Below are 20,979 nucleotides of genomic sequence, written 5' to 3' on the forward strand. Positions count from 1 at the left end.
AAATTAGCAGGGCATGGTGGCGGGCACCTGTAGTCCCAGCTACTCGGGTGGCTGAGGCAGCATGAACCCAGGAGGCAGAGTTTGCACTGAGCCAAGATCGCGCCACTGCACTCCAGCCTGGGCGATAGAGCGAGACTCCATAAAAAAAATAAATAAATAAAATAAAATTTAAAAAAAGAAAGAAAAGAAAAAAAGCTAAAAACCAATATTCCTTATGAGTATAGGGAAAATTCTCAAAAATAGAATCCAGCAAACTGAATGCAGCAACATATTTTTAAAAATCAGACAGCACAGTCAAGCAAAATTTATGCTAGGAATGCAAGAGAGGTTGACCAAACAAAAATCAATTAATGTGATAAACCATATTATTAATCAAGGAAAAAAAACACATAATAATCTCACTAAGTGCAGAAAAAGCATTTCATAAAATCCTACATCCTTTAATGATTCAAAAAATAAACATTCAACAAATTAGGAATGGAAGGGAACTTCCTTGACTTAATAAAGGACATCCAAAAAACACTCACAGGTAATGTCATATTTAATGGTGAATGACCAAAAGTTTTCTCCGTAAGATCAAAAAGAAGACAAGAATGCCTGTTCTCACTACTTCTATTAAACATTATACTGAAGGTTCTAGCCAGAGCAGTTAGGCAAGAAAAATAAATTAAAGGTATCCATATTGGAGACTAAGATGAAAAACTACCTCTATTTGCAAATGACATTGTTGTATATATAGAAAATCCTAAGGAATACAGGCAGACAGACAGATACACACATATGCACACACACACACACACACACACACACACACAATTAGAACTAATAAACAAGTTCAATAAGGTTGTAGGATACAAGATCAATATACAAAACTCAGTTATATCTCTATATACCTACAATGAACAATCTGAAAATAAAATTAAGGAAACAATTCTATTTACAATATCATCAAAAAGATAAAATACTTAGAAATAAATTAAACAAAAAGTACAATATTTGTGCACTAAAAACTACACAATATTGTTGAAAGTAGACCTGAATAAATGGAAAAATATCCCATGTTCATGGATAAGATGGCAATACTCTCCAAACTGATCTATAGCTTCAACCCAATGTTTATCAAAATCCCAACTGCCTTTCTTGAAGAAATTGACAAGTTGGTATTGAAATTCATATACAAATGCAAGGGACCCAGAATAGCCAAAATGATCATGAAAAATAAAAATAAGATCATGAAAAATAAAAATAAAGTTGGAGGATTTATACTTCCCGATTTCAAAACTTAATAGAAAGCAACAGTGATCAAGACAGTGTGGTTCTGGCATAAGTATGCACATATAGATCAATGGAATAGAATTGAGAGACCAGAAATAAACTTTTACATTTATCATTAATTGATACTTGTCAAGGGTACCAAGACCATTCAATGGGAACAAAAAGTAGTCTTTTCAACGAACAGCGCCAAAGAGTGAAGTTGGCCCCCTAGCTCACACCATATACAAAAATTAACTCAAAATAGATCAAAGCCCTAAATATAAGAACTAAAACTACAGAATTCCTAGAAGAAAGCATAGGTATAAATCTTTGTGACTTTGGATTAGACAATGATATCTTAGATATGATACCAAAAACACAGGCAACTAAAGAAGAAGTAGATTAATTGGACTTCATCAAACTTTAAAACTTTTGTGCTTCAAAGGATACTGTCAAGAAAGCACTAAGATACCCCACAGAATGGAATAAATTATTTGCCAATCATATATCTGATAAGGATTTAGTATGCAGAATATATTAGGAACTCTTACAGCTCAATAATAAGGGACAAATAACCCAATAGAAAAATGGGCTAGGGATTTGAATAGACATTTCTTCAAAGAAAATATACAAATGACCAGTAAGTACATGGAAAGCTACTCAACATCACTAGTTATAGAAAAATGCAGATCAAAACCACAGTGAGATACCACTTTACATTCATTAGCAAGGCTATAATAAAACAAACAAAGAATAACAAGTATTGGCAAGATTATAGAGATATTGGAATTCTCATATTACTGGTGAGAATGTAAAATGGTACAGATGCTTTGGAATAGAATTTGAGAATTTCTCAAAAAGTTAAACATAGAGTTGCCATACGGCCAAGCAATTTCACTCCCAGGTATATACCCAAGGGAACTGAAAACATACATCCATCAAAAAAAAGTTGTACTTAAATATTCATAGCAGCATTATTCACAATAGACAAGAAGTGGAAACAACCCAAACTTCCATCAGTGGGTGAGTGGATAAACAAAAAGTGGTAGATCTGTTCAGTGGACTATTATTCAGCCCTAAAAAGGAATGAAGTCCAGATTCATGCAGTAACATGGATCAACCTTGAAAACATTATGCTAAGGCAAACCCCCAAAACCACATACTGTATCATTCCATTTATATAAAATGTCCATAACAGGCAAATCTAGAGACAGAAAGTAGGTTAGTGGGTGGCAGGGAAGGGGAAGCAGGGGCTAAAAAAAAGAAAATAGATTGGCAGTTGCCAGGAACTGGAAGAAGGGAGGAATGGGACTGCTGATGGATACAGAGTTTCTTTTAGAGGTGACAAAAATGTTCTGGGATTAGATAATGGTGATAGTTGCACAACTTTGTAAATATACTAAAAGAACACTGAATTATACACTTTGAAAGGATGTGAATTTTATGGTATATGAATTATATCACAATTAGAAAAAAGGAGGAAGAGAAGGAGAAGGTGGAGGAGGAAGGGGAAGACAGAGATGCAGCAGCAGCACTGGGTGAGCCAAGGGAGACGTTGCTTCCGTGGGCACCTTTGGCAAAGGTAGTTCCCTTTCAATAATTTCTAAGGCAATATGTTTACTTGACAGTTATTTAGATTATGATTTAAAGACCTTAGGGGAAGCAGGGCAAAAGCAAGACATCCAGATGTATCCCAGTGAGTCACAGCGGTGTCCTGCTTACCATCAGCCAGGCTCACGCCCCCACTGTCAGAGCTAACTTGGCTGTGCTCCTACTGCAGCAGACCTAATGCTCAGCGGTCACGACACTGTTACATGCCTTCGTGATTTTTAATTCGTAGATACTGCCAGTCTGTGGCAATGAGGAGTTTGGCTTATTAGTGTTTCAGAAAATAAGGGGAATTTTAGTCTGACTCATTCCTTTTTGGCTACTCTCAACGTAAGAGTGAATTAAGGAGGCCAAGCTCCAGTTCTACAAGGAAGTTTACAGCATAATTGTCTGAGGCTCCTAAGTTGGCTAACCTTCACACACACACACACACACACACACACACACACACAAAAGTCTTCCTACCAGGTTCCATGTATTAAATGCAAGTGTAAAATTATTAAATATTCAAAAATAGATGGATGTGGATGGCACTATACGAGTATACAGAATCAGACTAGATGATGCTTCTGAAGTCCTCAATTTGAAGAATCACAAAGTTTACAGGGTTGAAGAAATGAATAAGAATTTTTTTTAATGTGCAAGAAATCCACATTGGCTAGTACTTTGCTTTCCCTCTCTGGGCAGGCACCGACTCTGCCTTGCACTGTACAGTCTAGAGACCTGTCTTATTTGCCACAGTCAGGTGGCAGGTCCTGTACGTAAGAACCACCTCATGGCTTATACCATAAGAGCCCTAGAGCCTCAGCAATCCCACACACATCCTTCTTGGGCTGGATTAATTTAACTGAATTGAATCTTTACAGAGGTAAACTTCCAGAATTATACCGAAAAACAAAGCTTGGTTTGTGTTCACACAGTCAACACATATTTACTCAGTTCCTTTCTAGGAGTCTGGAGATCAATGAACAAAATATGTAAACTCCTGGACCTTGTGGATCTTATACTGTAGAAATGGAAGGCAGGCAATAAACAAATTAATCATACAAGTGAATCAGATCTACGGAGACCAGTGGAGCAGAGAAGAATAGAAGACATTAAGCAAAGATCTAAAGGAGACCAAGAGGGGAACCATGCAGTTAGGAAGACAAGGAAGAAACAGGCGGCCAGATGAAGGACAGCCTTGCAGGCCAGTGTGAGGCTTGGCTCTTATTGTGATACCTGACATGTGAAACCTCTAGGGGGTTAGTGCAGAGGAGATGATCTGGCCTCTGGGTTAAAGGAATATCTCTGGCTGTATGTCACGAATAGGCTTACAGGTGCAAGGGAGGAAATGAAGACAGAAGTCTTCTGCAATAATCCGTGCAAGAGAAGACAGCGGCTCAGACCATGTGGTTTTTGTAAAAGTATTGAGAAGTGATCAGATTCCAGCCACATTCTGAAGGAGGAGTCCATCATACTCTGGTAGATTTGATTCAGCATGCAAAAGAAAGGTTGGGTGGAATGACCATTACCTGAGATGGGAAAGACTGCAGGTAGAACAGGTTTACAGAAGATCAACACTTCCATTTTGGACATTCAAGTTTAAGATGCCTGTTGGGTATCCAAGTAGATATACTGAATAGGTCACTGAATACATGAGTTTGAGTTCAAGGGACAGATTGGGGCTGAAGATAAAAGTTTGAGAATCCCAGCACTTTGGGAGGCCAGGGTGGGCAGATTGCTCGAGCTCAAGAGTTCAAGACCAGCCTGGGCGATATGGCAAAACCCTGTCACTACAAAAATACAAAAATGAGCCAGGTGTGGTGGTGCACACCTATAGTCCCAGCTACGCAGGAGGCTGAGGTGGGAGGATCGCTTAAACCCGGCAGGTGGAGGTTGCAGTGAGCGGAGACCACACCACTGCACTTCAGCCTGGGTGATAGAAGTGAGACTGCCTCAAAAAAAAAAAAAAAGTTTCGGAATTGCCAACATATCATGTATATAAAGGCATGATATGAGATAGTCCCATCAAGAAAGTAGGTGCAAAAAAAGAAAAGGTCAAAGGGCTGAGCCTTGGGGTCCTCCAACGTTCACCGTTGAAGGAGATGAAGAAGAACCAGCAAAGGAGACTGAGAAAGACCAGAGGCCACAGTCCTAGAAACCATGAGAAGAATAAGTTCTAAGGAGGAGGGTTGATGGTGAGTGTCAAATGCCACCGTAATAAGGGCTTCGGTTTGAGTGAGCCCTAAGGCACCACCGAGGACCCTGATAGTAACAATGTTGGGGGAATGGTGGGGGAAAACCTGTCTAAGTGAGTTCCTGAACAATTCAGAGGAGAACGAGTGACAGTAAATAGAGACAGCAGTTTCAAAGAACTCTGCTGTAATGGGGAGAAACAGTAGAGCTGAGAGACAGTGTGATGACTGGTCTCAGGAGACATTTCTTCAAGATGGGAGAATCAGCAGCATGTCTGAACACTCATGACGGCAACCTAGTAGCAGGGCAAAGAGAAACGCAGCAGGAGAGAAAGAAGAGCCTCGCTGGTTCCCACGGTTGGCCAATGGAGATGGGATCCCATGGACAAGTAGCAGGATGAGCCTTCATGGTGACAAAAGAGAAGCTGGAGAATGTGGATTCAGGTGTGGTGATGGGAGCCTGTGGCAGCTCCCTTCTGATTCTGCTTTCTCCTTGAACTAGGAAGTCAGGTCATCAGCAGCGAGTGAGGCTGGAAGAAGTGAGGCTCAGGATTGAGATCACAGGACACAGAATGAAACACTGTCTAGAAGAGAAGGCAAGTCGGGGAGTGGGAGAGGTGAAGTGACAGCCAGGGAACTGTAAGAGCCATCTGAGGTTCATGGACACGAACCTGTGGTTGTGTGTTTTTCTCCAGCCATGTTCAGCAGCACAGGTAGGCAAAAAGTTGGGTTTAATTTGGGCCAGGGTCTTGACAGGCAAGTGTGATACCACAAGTCAAGGGTGTGTGCAAGGGAAGTGGAGATGTGCACATCTTGGCCAGGAAGGAGCACAAAGAGTGATGGGAATTATCTGTGTAGCTGAAATAATAAAACAAGATTGAAGAAATTAAGAGACAAGAAACTCAGCCTGATGAGGAATTTTAAGAAGGCAAATACATTATCTAACTCAATTATTTATTGGGGACTCGCGGAGTCAAGAAATGTGCTAATATTTATGAAACTTATAGTTATCATTTAACTCTTCCCACCCCCAGTTATTCTTCTTCCCACATCATAGGTGAGGAAATTAATGTTCAGAGCAGGCCAGTGACTTGCCCTGGGCTACATGACTGCGGTGCCCCAAGGCTGGAGACTAAGCCTCTCTCTTCCAGAACCAGAAGACATGCTCTTCCCCGATATCAAGTTCACATGGTTGTCAATGACCAAAGCTTTCCTGTCTCTTTTTACAAAATCAATAACACGTTCCTTAAGAGCAGCCGAAAGTCACTGGCTGCCCAGGGTTGTGTGACGGGGACACTCAGTCTCACGCATTACCCGGCTCTCTAAGCACGTGGGGAACATCCACTGTTACTGCATTCCTTGTTGCAGTGATTGCTGATGCACAGAACCGTTCTCTTTATTTTATCCATAAATTCACTTCCTAATAACAATAAGGCATGCCAGGGCTTTGGCCTCATGCCTTATTACACCACCTGAGGAGTAAGATAATCACCCGGAAATGCACTGCCTGTTGTGCATTTTATTACTTGAATACAAAGTGATTCAATTCAAGAAACACTTAGTTGAAGACAGCATGAAAAAAAAATAATCATATGAAAAGTAATTCCTCCTAATGCCACAGAGTACACTGCAGGGAGTACTCTTCCAGAGGGAGAATGGTCTGGATGACCTGTTGGGTCTCCTCTAGTTCTAATTTCTACCAACTGCGGGATCATAAAAGCTAGTGAGACTTCAATTACAATATGAAGATTCCAAAGGGCCAGATCTGGATCGTTCTGAAAATGGAGCCTATTGGGTGTTCTACCTAAACATTCTTGGTATAAGCATTTTCTAAGCAACCATTCTCTCAACCATCCATTATTCAGCAAACACTGTAGGCCACTGCAGGCATTGGCTAGGGTCTAGGAAGAGAAAGAAATATAACCCACCCTGACCCTCTAGTCACTCACCATTTAACTCAGAATGTTAAAGAAAATGGCAATATGTTGCAAAAGGAAAGAACAAGGCATCCCCGCAGCATCTCCAACTAACACTACTGTAGCCTGGAGAAATTCAGCATTGCTCTGTGGGGTACCTGTCTGACTAGAGACTAACACTACTCTGTGGGGTACCCATCTGGCTAGAGTGGGTGAGAGTGTGAACTCTATCACTCTATCTCCACGGTCAGATTAAAGACTTCTCCCAACAGACACCATCCATCGGTTCATCTGAAGGGGAGAAAGAGCTATTCCATTTGTAGATTCCTCAAGCAGAAATAACATGATTTGTTATTGTTATTAATACCATTGTTTTTAAATGCATTTATTTTCCATTTTTAAAAATGGATTTTCAAAGGGCCGTGAAAGCAAGCATATAGCTTTAAAACGGTGGTTCTCAAAAGTGTGGTGCCTGAACCAGCACTTTGAGACCTTTTTTCAGAAATGTACATTTCCAGGCTCCACCCAGACAAACTGACTCTCTGGGGGATGGGGCCCAGCCATCTGTATTTAATAAGCTTGAGACCAGTGCTTTAGAAGAACCTGAAGTTGATTGATAAGTATGAGTTTATAGGTTTTGCCTTTAAAGAGGTTCATGTGTAAAGTTTCCCACTTTATATCAAAATGAAGTTAAAAGCCAGCCGCAAACATTACGTTTAGGTCCTTCAACTAGCAATAACCGAGCATCTATTTTGCTGGGCACTGGGTGTTATCTCATTTAATCATCAACCATGTGACAACCTTGTGAGTTAGACACTATTATCCATATTTTTAGAGGTGGAAAAATTAAATGCCAGAGAGAAAAGGTCAAATTTACTCAGTAACAGTGAAGCCAAGACCCAAACTCCGGTGAATTTAATCCTTGGCTTTTTGTCCAATTGTGCCAGCATGTGTATGTGTGTATGCATTTGCCTACATGCATGTGAGTGATTTGTGTGTATTCGTATGTAAACAGATAAGAGTAATGAAGTTTTCATATATTTGATATGGCAGTAAGAAAATCTGTGTATCAATCCACAAGAATAGATAACTTGAGTTTGCAAAACGGTTTAACAATTCTGCAACCTACTCAAGAGAACATGTAGAAAATTAAAAGCAAGCCATCTACATACAGTTCTAATCAAATATGAGGATTCCAGCATTCGTGCCACCAACATTTGAAGACCAGTCCCTCCTCCCCCATTCCAGTCTCATACTGCCTTAATATCTTAGACAGACTCTACTGGCAACCCCTAGTCTATTGTTCTAAACATAGGAATTATAAGAATGCAAGTTGATTTACAAATATATTCCAAATGATAGGGTATCACAAAAAACAATTTAGCCAGTCATCTGAATTCAATTTAGCAGAAAAATCTGAGCTTATAAACTGACCTGCCTCCACAGCTAGGCAACACTATGGCCACGCATTTGGGACACAGTCTCCCTCCACCAAGGAGCTCCCCAGGCCCTGTACAGCCCCTTGCCCTGCCCGAACCTCATCGTCACAGACAGTCTACCCTCACACACTGTAAGACCCACCCCCACAAACCTAGAAATCAAATGAAAAACAACAAACTGCGGAAAGTGAATATATTTTAATGGAGTAGGATATCACTGCTATAACTGGTAACTAGAAAATATGTAGAAATATCAGAACACGTTTAGGACAATGTCAAGAGAACAAGTACAGTGGGGCATACACTATGAATACAACGATATAAAAATATATTGTCACAAATAGACAGGGACTAGAAGATATGACAAAAATTGCTACCTGGGGACGATGGAGACATTGATCTTTTTATGTTAAATGTTCTTTAATAACCGTGTCATGGCATGTTCTAGACATCATGCCTACCAGTGCCCACTAGGCAGGAGAGGAGCTGCCTCCTGCCCACATCTCCCCTCTCACGGCCCCATGGGTCCCTCGGCCCTGCTCCACCCCAGCCGATTCCTCTGCCTTGAGACCTCCTGGAACATCACTTTCTGGAGAGGCTTCTCTGACCACCCTGCATCTTCCTTGCAGAGTCTCTCACACAGCCTGCACTTCTCCGGCACTGTACATACCCCAACTTCGCATTACACTTTTAGTTGGGAAATTATGAACTCCATTATAAGCTCCATGAAATAAAAGGGTGTGTTTACACCACTCTACCCCCAGCCCCGAAGTACTCAGCACGTAACTGCTGCTCCAAATTACTGACAAATAAATGGTTTTCACAGCCCTGCCATTCAGACAGCACTCGCCTCCCAACACACACACACACACACACACTACACACTCACCACATACTCTCACCATACACAGTCACCACACACAATACACACTCACCACACATACACCACACACACACACACCCCTTCATCACACACGTACCACACACAACTCACCCCCCACAGAAACACACACACCACACACAACTCACCCCCCACAGAAACACACACACCACAGACCACTTACCCCCCACAGACACACACACCACACACACAGAGTAGCACACATGCACACCACATGTCCTTCTACTCCTGTATTTTATTGATGAGTCTCTCTTTTTCCCACCATTCAGGGTAGAAGTTTCCACGCCATCCACAATTCCTCACTCATCCCTCTACTGAGAACTGGTGGCCAGTGTCAGCCAGGTTTCCTTAATGAACACCCTCGACCCCATGACTGTTCAATGTCTGTCTTCCCTGTCAGACTATTAATGCCGTGGGAGCCAGGGTCGGGTTTGATCATGTGCTCAGCACGTCAACCTCCAAAAAATGATGAATGTTAAGTTGAACTAAATTAAGTAATTGTGTTTTGTATTAGTTTACACTAGCATGAATGTCTTGCTGCCCCAAATACAGAGCCTAAAGAAAAAAGCTTATACTGTTTTGTTTGTAATACTCCTTTATCATGGATATAAAAGTCTAATTTCAGGAGCTATCTCAGAAATTCACTATTACCTCATGAATATCATCAGACCCACCACACCTGATGTGATGACAGACACAGATACGGCAACCGAGAAAAAACAAGTCGTGTCAGAAACACTGACCACAAGTGTGCTGTCAAACATCTCAAAACAGTTGCACTCGAAGCCTTTTAAAATGTAAGAGCTGCAGACAATTACGCTCTCTCCCAGCTCCTATAAGCAGACAAGGAGGGCTGAGCACATCCTATTTATAGTCAAGCCAAATCCAAGCAAGTCCTCAGCTCCTGCAAAGTTGCATGTTTTCCCAGCTTCAGGGTTCAGGAACTAGAAGTCTTGCTGCTGCTGCCACCTATTGCAGGAAATGTGAATCTAGGTTCAAGAAAAGCTGGATTGTCGAGTGGGCCCTGCTGTCTCGCAGTGACGTGGATGGAATCATTCTCTGAACTCACTGCAGTTGTCTAGTATTTCCATTCATGCTGAGCACCAAATTAAGGTCATCCACTGTTAAAATGTATAAGCCAATGCTTGCTGATGTGATATATATGAGAATGCCTAAAAATTTTGGCCCAGGAGTCAGCACTCAGTAAATGCTTGTTGCCTGGATGACGGACACAAACCAGATAGAAGTGGCAATGGTAACATGATCAACTTTTAAAGCACCTTTCTCTTGAGACCTGAAGCCCCACACAATGACCTGGCCGCCTACTGTGCAAAAGCTGTATCAGTGAGCACAGATGCTCAGGGAGGAGGAGCATCTCACCTGGCTTTGGTACTGCCTGAGAGGGTGCTGCTGCCTTTGGGAGCATTTGTTTTGGTGCTATTTCGTTTCATGCCCTTCAAGATAAAATATTTCTGACTTTGGGAATGCTGAAAAATAAGAGAGCAATGGGGTTAGCACAGATTGGCGGACAGATTTTCTTATTCGGCCTATGCAAGCTACAAGAATGGAGCCTTTGGGTTTGTCAAACAATCCAGCAATTTGCAAGCTACCGGAGAACTGTGTAGGAAACCTTAGGCAAATCACGTGAATTTCACACTAAATTGTAGGATTCTCAGGGGGAGAGATTTTATGTGACCACTGTACAAGCATCACTTCTCTTTTCATGTCTCAATCCAATACACACACACACATGCACACACACACACACACCCCTACTGTGGTCCCTTCTGTCTTCCTCACAACAACCAGCATAATCATTTCAAATGCTGATCTCCTCGTGTTACTTCCTTGCTTAGAACACTCCAATTGCCTCCTAGTGCTATTAGAACCAAGACCAAAGTCCTTGGTGTCTTTGTGGCTGCAGCACAGGCCCTCCCCTGCTTCTCTGCTGCCATCCTCCCCCGGCTCCCTCTGCCTCAACCACACTGGCAGTCCCTCAAATGTGCTCATTCCCAAGCAAGAGATTTTTTCTCTTCACCTGCTGTAACCTCTACTTAGACCACCTATTCCTCGCCCCTCTCTGACTAATGAATGCCTCTTTCTCCTAACAATCAATGGTTCTCACACTTGAGTGGACATCAGGATCACCTGGACAGCCTGTTAGAAACAGATTGCTGGGCCCACTCCAGATTCCCATTCCAGTCCTGGGTTGGGGTGGGGCCTAAGAATTTGCATTGCTGGCCAGGCACAGTGGCTCACACCTGTAATCCCAGCACTTCGGGAGGCCAAGACAGGTGAATCACAAGGTCAGGAGTTCAAGACCAGCCTGGCCAAGATGGTGAAACCCCATCTCTACTAAAAATACAAAATTTAGCCAGGTGTGGTGGCGGGTGCCCATAATCCCAGTTACTTGGGAGGCGGAGGTTGCAGTGAGCCAAGATTGTGCCACTGCACTCCAGCCTGGGCAATAGAGCGAGACTCCATCTCAAAAAAAAAAAAAGAATTTGCATTGCTGACCCGTTCCCAGGAGATGCTGGTGCTGCTGGGCAGGACATCACTCTGAGAACTGAGGCCCTAAATTTCAGTTCAAATGCCACTTCTTCAGGGAGCCTTCCTTGACACCTCATGCTAGGCTGGCTTCCCTTCCACGCTTTCACAACGACCTCTGTTGTCCTTCATAGCCTTAGTCCAGTTTGTAATGATGTAGCTATTGGGATAAGTCTTTGATTAAGGCTTGTCTCCCACTAGACTTTCAGTTCCCTAAAGACTAGAGCCAAGGCAACTGACATCATCACTACGTCTCCAGACCCGAGGCCAGTGACTGGTGTTCAGAGGTATTCAGAATGAACGCATGAGTGGATTTGCTTCAGCTGCTGAAGCCTGACAACACAAGGTAGACAATGCCTGCCTGTGGCCTCCTGCCTGGAGTCCTCTCTCTAATCAGTCAGCAAGTGATGTCAATTTTACTTGGAGAACACCTCTTAAATCTATCTTCTGCCTCTCTGCATCCCTGAGGTCACTGTCCAGTTCATGTGCACTCTTGAGATTACAGAAACAGCCTCTGATCACTTCTGGGTCTCCAACTTCACCTCTGATTCATCCTCCTCTGTTGCAGGATTTACCTTTCTACAGCACAGGCATAATTATGGTACTCCCTTGATAAAAATACACAATGCAGCTGGGAGCAGTGGCTCACACCTTTAACCCCAGCACTTTGGGAGGCCAAGGCTGGAGGATCGATTGCTTGAGGCCAAAAGTTCAAGACTAGCATGGGCAACATAGTGAGACCTCGTCTTTACAAAAAAAAAAAAATTTTAATCAGCCAGGTAGGGTGGTGTGCCTGCAGTCCCAGGTGCTCAGGAGGCTGAGATGGGAGGATCACTTGAGCCCAGGAGTTCAAGGTTGCAGTGAGCTATGATCACACTGCTGCACTCCAGCCTGGGTAACAGAATGAGAATCTGTCTCCACACACACACACACACACACACACACACAAACATGTACAATATCAAATTATACATGTGTTAAAATTTCATAGGATTATTCACCAAGGAAAAAGATATGCACACTGTTAAAAACTAGTGAAATGTGAATGAAGTCTTTAGTTAATATTGACTTTAGTTAAATTGATGTTGTACCAGTGTCAATTTCCCAGTTTCAATAATTACAGTTATTCTATAAGATATTATCACTGGGAGATGTTGGAAGTACACAGGAACACAGTACTAATTTTATAACCTTTATGTGAATCTAAAATTATTTCAAAATAAAGTTTTTTAAAAACATGCAATAGTCCAGTTCCAAAATGGCAGCATAGAAGCAAGCTGGCTTCACTCTCACCTGAAAACCAAAGTAAATATACAGTGCCGACATTATCATCAGGAATATCCCAGAACTCTCATATGAAGACGAAACAGATCTTGGGGCCACAGCTATGAGGGGACAGTAAAAGAATTCAACTTCCACATCCACAACGCCCCTCCCCCCATTCTGCCTGGCACCAAGCATGCAAGAAATTTTCCCCCAATTCACTGTTTCTACACTGGGAAAAGTGAGATTGAGGTGGACAACCAGCTTCTCCACCATCTTGGGTTCGCTGGCAGGAGACCTATCCCTGCCTTAATCCATCACAAGTGCCTGAAGGGAGAAACATCCCTGAGGACAGACAGAGGTAAAGAGGGGGAGGTGGGACTACCATCTCCAGCTCTTGAAAAACTGCTCTCTAACTCAACAAAAGGAGACACCAAATCAGAGTGTATTTTCAGCAGTCACATGCTGTAGGAGGTTTGTCCTACTGGTCGCCTGGACACAAACCCTACCCAACCTTCCCACGCTGCTGGGACATCCCCTTTGGGACCTCCCCCATTCAGGAAGGTCAGCATTCCAAGCAGTTACTAGAGTCAAGGTGAACCTGAGCTCAAGGTACCAACAACTACAGCGGAAAAGGAGGCAGCAACCTAGCAGTAAAGAACCTCTAAGAAAATATACCCAAAGAAAACAAGCAAGAAGTCCAGAGAAGACTGGAATAGATAACTTCGATGCAAAAACATAGATGTACATCCACAAAAAAGACAGCAGCAAACAGAGAATCATGATTTCCCCAAGCAAACAAAGCAAGGAATCAGTAACTGATCCTAATGAAACAGTGATATTTGAGCTGTCTATCCAAGAATTCAAAATAGCAATTTTAAGGAAACTCTGTGATTTCCAAGATAACACAGAAAATCAATTCAGAACTTTATCAGAGAAATTTAGCAGAGATTGAGATAAATTTTTTAAAAATCAAGTGGAAATCTTGGAACTGAGAAATACATTTGCTGAACTGAAAAATTCATTAACGGCTACCAACAGCAAAATGGATCAAGAAAAGGAAAGAAGCAGTTAACTTGAAGACAGACTATTTGAAAACACACTCAGAGGAGAAAAATGAAAAAAAAGAATGAAAAGCAATGAAGATCACCTATAAGATATAGAAAATTTCCTCAAAAGATGAGATTTTAAAAAATGATTAGTATTCAAGGGAATTGAGCAAGAGCAAGGGGTACAAAGCTTATTCAAATAAATAATAACAGAAAACCTTCCAAGACTTGAGAAAGATATAAATATCCAGGTACACAAAGGTCAGAGAACAAACAGATTTGACCCAAATAAGACTATTCCAAGGCATATAATAAACTCCAAGTCAAAAACTAGAGAGAATCCTAAAAACGGCAAGAGGAAAAAAAACAAATAACATATAAAGGTGCTCCCATTCATCTGGCAACAGACTTCTTAACAGAAATCATATAGCCAGGAGGGAAGGGAACAAATTTTCAAAGTTCTAAAAGAAAAGAAAAGACACTGTCATCCAAGAATATTATATCCAGCAAAGTTATCCTTCAAATATGAAGAACAGATAAAGTCTTTCCCAGACAAACAAAAGTTGAGAGAATTCACCACCACCAGACCTGTCTTACAAGAAATGCCAAAGGAATTCAATCTGAAAGAAAGAAAACACTAACATTCAGAAAAAAAACAAAAGATATAAAACATGCTGGTAAAATTAAGTACACAGACAAACCTGGGATACTCTAATACTGGAATTGTGATGTGCAATCTACTCGTAACTCTAGCATGAAGCCCAAAAGAGAAATCTCTTAAAAACAATAATAGCTACTACAACCTGTTGAGATAGGTAATATAAAAGTATGTAAATTGAGACAATTAAAAGTCAAAATGTGGAACAGATAGAATTAGTGTAGAGTTTTTTCATTTCTTGTTTGTTTATATTCTTTTTTCTGACCTAAGATGAGCTGTCATCTTTTTAAAATAATTTGTTATATCTATAAGATGTTTCTGTAAGCCTCATGGTAACTATAATGCAAAAACCTAAAAAGCAATGGACTAAAACATATTACCAGAGAAAATCAACCACAAGGGAAGACAGTAAGAAAGGAAGGAAGGGACGACTTAAAACAAACAGAAAAAAGCAACAAAATGGCAACAGTAAGTTCTTACTCATCAACAATAACACTGAATGTTCATTGACTCGGTTCTCCAATTAAAAAGCATAGAGTGGCTGAATGGATTAAGAAACAACACCCAACAATATGCTGCCTATAAGAAACCCACTTCACCTATAAAGACTCGTATAGACTGAAAGTGAAGGGATGGAAAGGATATTCCATGCAAATGAAAACCAAAATAAGAGCAGGAATAGCTTTACTTGTATCAGATAAAATAGACTACAAATCAAAGATTATCAAGCAGTGTGAAAAAGAGGTGAGATGTCCCCTGAACTGACAAGAGGCTGTGTGCTGCTACATCCTGCAACCAGCACCGACATCCCACTGCCATCATCACCATGCCCAAGAGAAAGGTTGAATAGGACATGAAAGAAGATAAAACCAGCTGGGTGGCTCACGCCTGTAATCCCAGCACTTTGGAGGCCAAGGCGGGTGGATCACCTGAGGTCAGGAGTTCAAGACCAGCCTGACCAACATGGCGAAACCCTATCTCTACTAAAACTATGAAAAATTAGCCAGGCATGGTGGGGAGTGCCTGTAATCCCAGCTACTCAGGGAGGCTGAAGCAGGAGAATTGCTTGAACCCAGGAGGCAGAGGTTGCAGTGAGCCTAGATCATGCCACTGCACTTCAACCTGGGTGACAGAGCAAGACTCTATCTCAAAAAAAAAAAAAGATAAAACCAAGATGAAGGACAAATCACAGAGATCTGCAAGCTTGTCTGCTAAACCTGCTCCTCCAAAGCCAGAGCCCAAGCCTAAAAGGGCCCCTACAAAGAAGAGAGAGAAGGTACACAAAGGGAAAAAGGGAAAAGCTGATATTGGCAAGGAGGAGAATAACCCTGCACAACATGGAGATGCCAAAACAGACCGGGCACAGAAAGCTGAATGTGTTGGAGATGCCAAGTGAAGTGTGTGCATTTTTAATAACTGTGTACCTCTGATGACTGTACAGTTTGAAATACTATTTTTAATCAAGTTTTATAAAAATGCAGAAGCTATATTGTTAGCACACAGAACACTTCATTGTTGTCTTTTGGGGAAGGAGCCTATGTCACTAATAGAATGTCTTCAAAACTAGACTGATGTGGAAAAAACACCTTTCTCTTCTAGTTTTGAGAGACTTCCTCTTGGCTCCCACAAGGAGGGATTTCCTGGCTTTGACACACATAGCCACTTTAGCATGAAAGCCTTAAGGAGGGGAAAACAAATTTATTTTTATGTCCTCTTTTCTCTTTCCACCTTCAGCATACACTTAACTCCCTTAAACCGAGATACCTGTTGGGACCTGACCCTCAATAATTGATTATCAGCGTGTCAGGCAATCTGGACTTTCCAGTGAAACCACTGAGATGGTGCCCCTCAAAAGAGCAGCGGTTCTCTTTCTGGGTTGTGGATCTTTAGACAAATTCTCCCATTTTCATTTCACTTCCTGAAAGTCATGCTTGGGTCATGAAAAGTTGTTCAACCCTCACTCTAAACTTTCCCTGTTCAGAGCATCAAATGAAAACTTCATAGGGTTTGATAGGGGCTTTCTGATTTTTGATAGTCGGTTGAAGAAGGGAGTTTGAAAGTTGTTAAATACTGTTAATGATTGTCTGCCCATGTCCTGCTGAAATACCGTGATTGGTTATGGAAAGTATCTTTAATAAAGCTGGGTATAGTTTGGCTTGGGAAAAAAATCAAAACCTATCAAAAAAGAAAAAGAAGGTCACTATATAATGATAAAGGGATCAATTCAGCAAGAGGATATAACAATTATAAATATATATGCACACCATGCCAGAGCTCACAAAGACCTGAAGTTAAACATTACTAGATCTAAAAGGAGAGACAGATTGCAATACAATAATATTAGGATACTTCAAAATGCTTCACTCTCGGTAATGAATAGATCATCCACATAGAAAGTCAACAAAGAAACACTGCCATTAAACTACAGACTAGACCTAATAGGGCTAACTGATATTTACAGAACATTTCACCCACTGCTTCAGAATACGCATTTCATTTCCTTTTTCTTTCTTTAGAGATGGGGTCTTGCTGTATTGCCCAGATTGGACTCAAAACTCCTGGGCTCAAGTGATCTTCCCCTCAGCCTCCCAAGTATCTAGGATTATAGACACGCACCACTGTATCCAGCTAGAATGACATATTCTTTTCATCAGCACATGGAATATTCTCCAGAATAGACCACATCTTAGGCCACAAAACAAGTCTCAACAAATTCAAAAAAGTAGAAATCATATCAAGTATCTTTTATGATCACAATGGAATAAAACTATAAATCAATAACAAAAGGAACCTCAGAAACTCACAAACACATGGAAATTAAACAACACACTCCTGAATGACCGATGAATCAATGAAGAAATTAAGAAGGACATTTTTAAATTTCTTGAAATAAATGAAATGAAAATCCAACACACCAAAGTCTATGGGCTACAGCAAAAGCAGTACTAAGAAGGAAGTTTATAATAATAAATGCCTATGTCAAAAAAAATAGAAAGACTTCAAAAAAACAACCTAATGATGCACTTCAAGGAGCTAGAAAAGCCAGAACAAAGCAAACCCAAAAGTAGTAGAAGGAAAGATATTATAAAGATCAGTGACTGGACACGGTGGCTCACACCTGTAATCCCAGCACTTTGGGAGGCTGAGGTGGAGGATTGCTTGAGGCCAGGAGTTCAAAACCAGCCTGGGCAATATGGCAAGATCCCATTTCTACAAAAACTTTTTTTAAAAAATTAGCTGGGAATGGTGGTGGCACGCACCTGCAGTCCTAGCTACTTAGGAAGCTGAGGCAGTATTGCTTGAGCTCAGCAGTTTGAGGCTGCAGTGAGCTATGATCCTGCTACTGCACTTCAGCCTGGGCAACAGAGCCCTGCCTCAAAAAAAAAAAAAAAAAAAATCAGAGGATAAATAAACACAATTGAGACAAGAAAAAATACAGAGAATCAATGAAACATGATTTGGTTTTTTGAAAAGATAAAGTCAACAAACCTTTGGTTAGACTAAGAAAAAAAGAGAGAAGACCCAAGTTGGAAGAGAAGAAGTCAAATTAGCCTTGTTCACAGATGACATGATCTTATATTTAGAAAAAAACCAAACACTCCACCAAAAACCTGTTAGAACTGATAAGTTCAGTAAAGTTGCAGAATGCAAAGTCAACATTCAAAAATTGGTGGCATTTATACATACCAACAGCAAACAAACTGAAAAAGAAAGCAAGGAAGCAAACCCATTTACAATAGCTATAGAGAATATAAAATACCTAAGAATCAATTTAACCAACGAAATCAAAGATTGATACAAGGAAAACTATAAAACACCAATGAAAGAAATTGAAGAGGACACCAAAAAACAGAAAGGTATTTCATGCTCATGGATTGAAAGAATTAATATTGTTAAAATGGCAATACTACCTAAAGCAATTTACAGATTCAGTGCGATGTGATACATATACCCAATAGAATATTATCCAGCCATAAAAAAGAATAAAATTCTGCCATTTGTAGCAACATGGATAGAACTGGAGGTCCTTATGTGACATTCTGATTAAAAAATGAGATAAGCCAAGCACCAAAAAGAAGAATGTTGCATGTTCTCACTCATATGGAGGAGCTCAAAAAGTGGATTTCATAAAGATAGAGTAAACTGGTGGTTAGCACAGGCCAGGAAAGGTAGAGGGGAGGAGAGGATGAAGAGAGGTTGATTAATGGGTACAAATATATGGTCTGATAGAAGAAATAACACCTAGTGTTAGACAGATCAGTAAGGTGACTATAGATTACAATAACCTATTGTACATTTCAAAATAGCTAGAAAAGAAGAATTTGAATGGTTCTAACATAAAGAAAAGACAAATATCTCAGGTGATGGATATCCCAAGTATACTGATTTGATCTTTACAAATTATATGAATGTATTAAATTATCCCATGTACCCTGGAGCTATGTACATGGATTATGCATCAATAAAAATAAATAAAATTTCTTTTAAGAAAGAAAAATAGGGCTGGGAGCAGTGGCTCATGCCTGTAATCCCAACATTTTGGGAGGCCGAGGTGGGCAGATCACTTGAGGCCAGGAGTTCGAGACTAGCCTGGCCAACATGACAAAATCCTGACTCTACTAAAAATACAAAAACTTAGCTGGGTGTGGTGGTGAGTGCCTGTAATCCCAGCTACTCGGGAGGCTAAGGTACAAGAATCGCTTGAACCCAGGAGGTGAAAGTTGCAGTGAGCCGAGATCATACCACTGCACTCCAGCCTGGGTGATCAAGTGAGACTATCTCAAAAGAAAAGAGAGGAGAGGAGGGGGAGGGGAGGGGAGGGGAGGGGAAGGGAAAAAAGAGAAGAAGCAATGCTTCTCCAGGGCATAAAGACTGAAATTCAATTTTTTTTTTTTTTTGAGAGGAGGTCTCACGCTGGAATGCAGTGGTGCAATCTTGGCTCACTGCAGCCTCACCTTCAGGGCTCAAGTGATCCTTGCACCTTAGCCTCAGCCTCCTGAATAACTGGGACTGCAGGTGCATGCCACCACACCTGCCTAATTTTTGTAGAGGCAGGGTTTCACCATGTTACCCAGGCTGGTCTCGAATTTCTGGGCTCAAGTGATTCTCCCACCTCAGCCTCCCGAAGTGTTGGGATTACAGGTATGAGCCACTGCACCAGGCCTGAAATTCAAACTCTTAATTGTGGGGTAGAAGGTCATTCATATAATTAACCACCTGGCTTCAGGTGATCCTTCCAGACGCCATTACCTCCAGGCATGCTACGTTCTTACCCAGTGCTCCCAACACACCACGTAGTTCCTCACTTCTGAGCTTTGGTTCATGCCTGTGCTAGAATTTCCTTCATTCTTTTGCACCTGGCACACTTCAATTAATCTTTCAAAACTGAGGGTATATCCCCTTCCTTCAGGAGACCTTCCTATTGTCCTTAAACAAAATTAATCATGCCTTTACAAAGAACTTAAGTCTTATAGGTGTGCTTTGCTAATTGTTTCATTTAATAAAGAAAAGAACCAAAAGATAAAAGCCACTCGTAATTCCATCACTTTGCTGTGGGGCTGCAGATGTGGTGGGTAAAATATGAAGTAAAAGTTCTAATATTCTCCCATCTGTTCCTCTAGTCCTACCTCAATTTTCACTTTGATTCTCTGCTTCCAGACCTTTATGTTGGCCCCTGCTAGACAATAAGTCCCTCCAGTGGACTCCACTTACCTTTTTACACTCAACATGGCATAGCATGCAGTAAGCACCCCATTAAACTTTGCTCTTGATGGACCACAGTTATCAACACTATGACTGCAAGGGATAGAAGCTTAGGCTAATTTTACCCTTGATTTTGAAAGCTAAACAAGGTTCTGAGTATGACCAAGGCACTGTGAGGAGTTCTGTAGCTCACCCCTGACTTTACACCATCCTCAGCTGAGGTTTTCAAAATAAAGAGAATTTTGAGACATTAATGAATGTGATTACTTCAGAACTTGGTGAGGTAGAAATTGGCAAGGATCATAAAAACTAATACCCCCAAAATAAGCATCAAGTCACAGACCATCAAATACACTTCTTAACCAATGGGAAAAACACAATTAGAAGGCTATCTCACTGATATATTTGTTTATTTGCCAGAGAAGTATTGATGTCCAGTTTTAAACACGTGCTATTTATATCAG

At 41.1% G+C, this 20,979-nt stretch overlaps 1 protein-coding gene and 1 pseudogene across 19 annotated transcripts in view; one reads left to right on the forward strand and one right to left on the reverse strand.

Annotated features, from left to right (window-relative positions):
• EFCAB6 (EF-hand calcium binding domain 6) overlaps positions 1-20,979 on the reverse strand; it is a 283,528-nt gene that overhangs the window by 257,792 nt on the left and 4,757 nt on the right. For 11 of the 19 annotated variants that reach the window (XR_007067980.1, XM_011530318.4, XM_017028911.3 and 8 more), the window contains exon 3: positions 10,676-10,782. The exons of the other annotated variants lie outside the window; for them this stretch is intronic. Coding sequence is in view for 10 of the 11 variants with exons in the window: in XM_011530318.4 (XP_011528620.1) it covers positions 10,676-10,746 (71 nt within the window). In the remaining variant the exon portion in view is untranslated. The remainder of the gene's footprint in view (positions 1-10,675; positions 10,783-20,979) is intronic. 19 annotated transcript variants of the gene reach the window in all.
• HMGN2P9 (high mobility group nucleosomal binding domain 2 pseudogene 9) lies at positions 15,974-16,972 on the forward strand (annotated as a pseudogene).

The sequence above is a fragment of the Homo sapiens genome, chromosome 22, assembly GCF_000001405.40.
Source record: "Homo sapiens chromosome 22, GRCh38.p14 Primary Assembly".
NCBI lineage: Eukaryota > Metazoa > Chordata > Mammalia > Primates > Hominidae > Homo > Homo sapiens.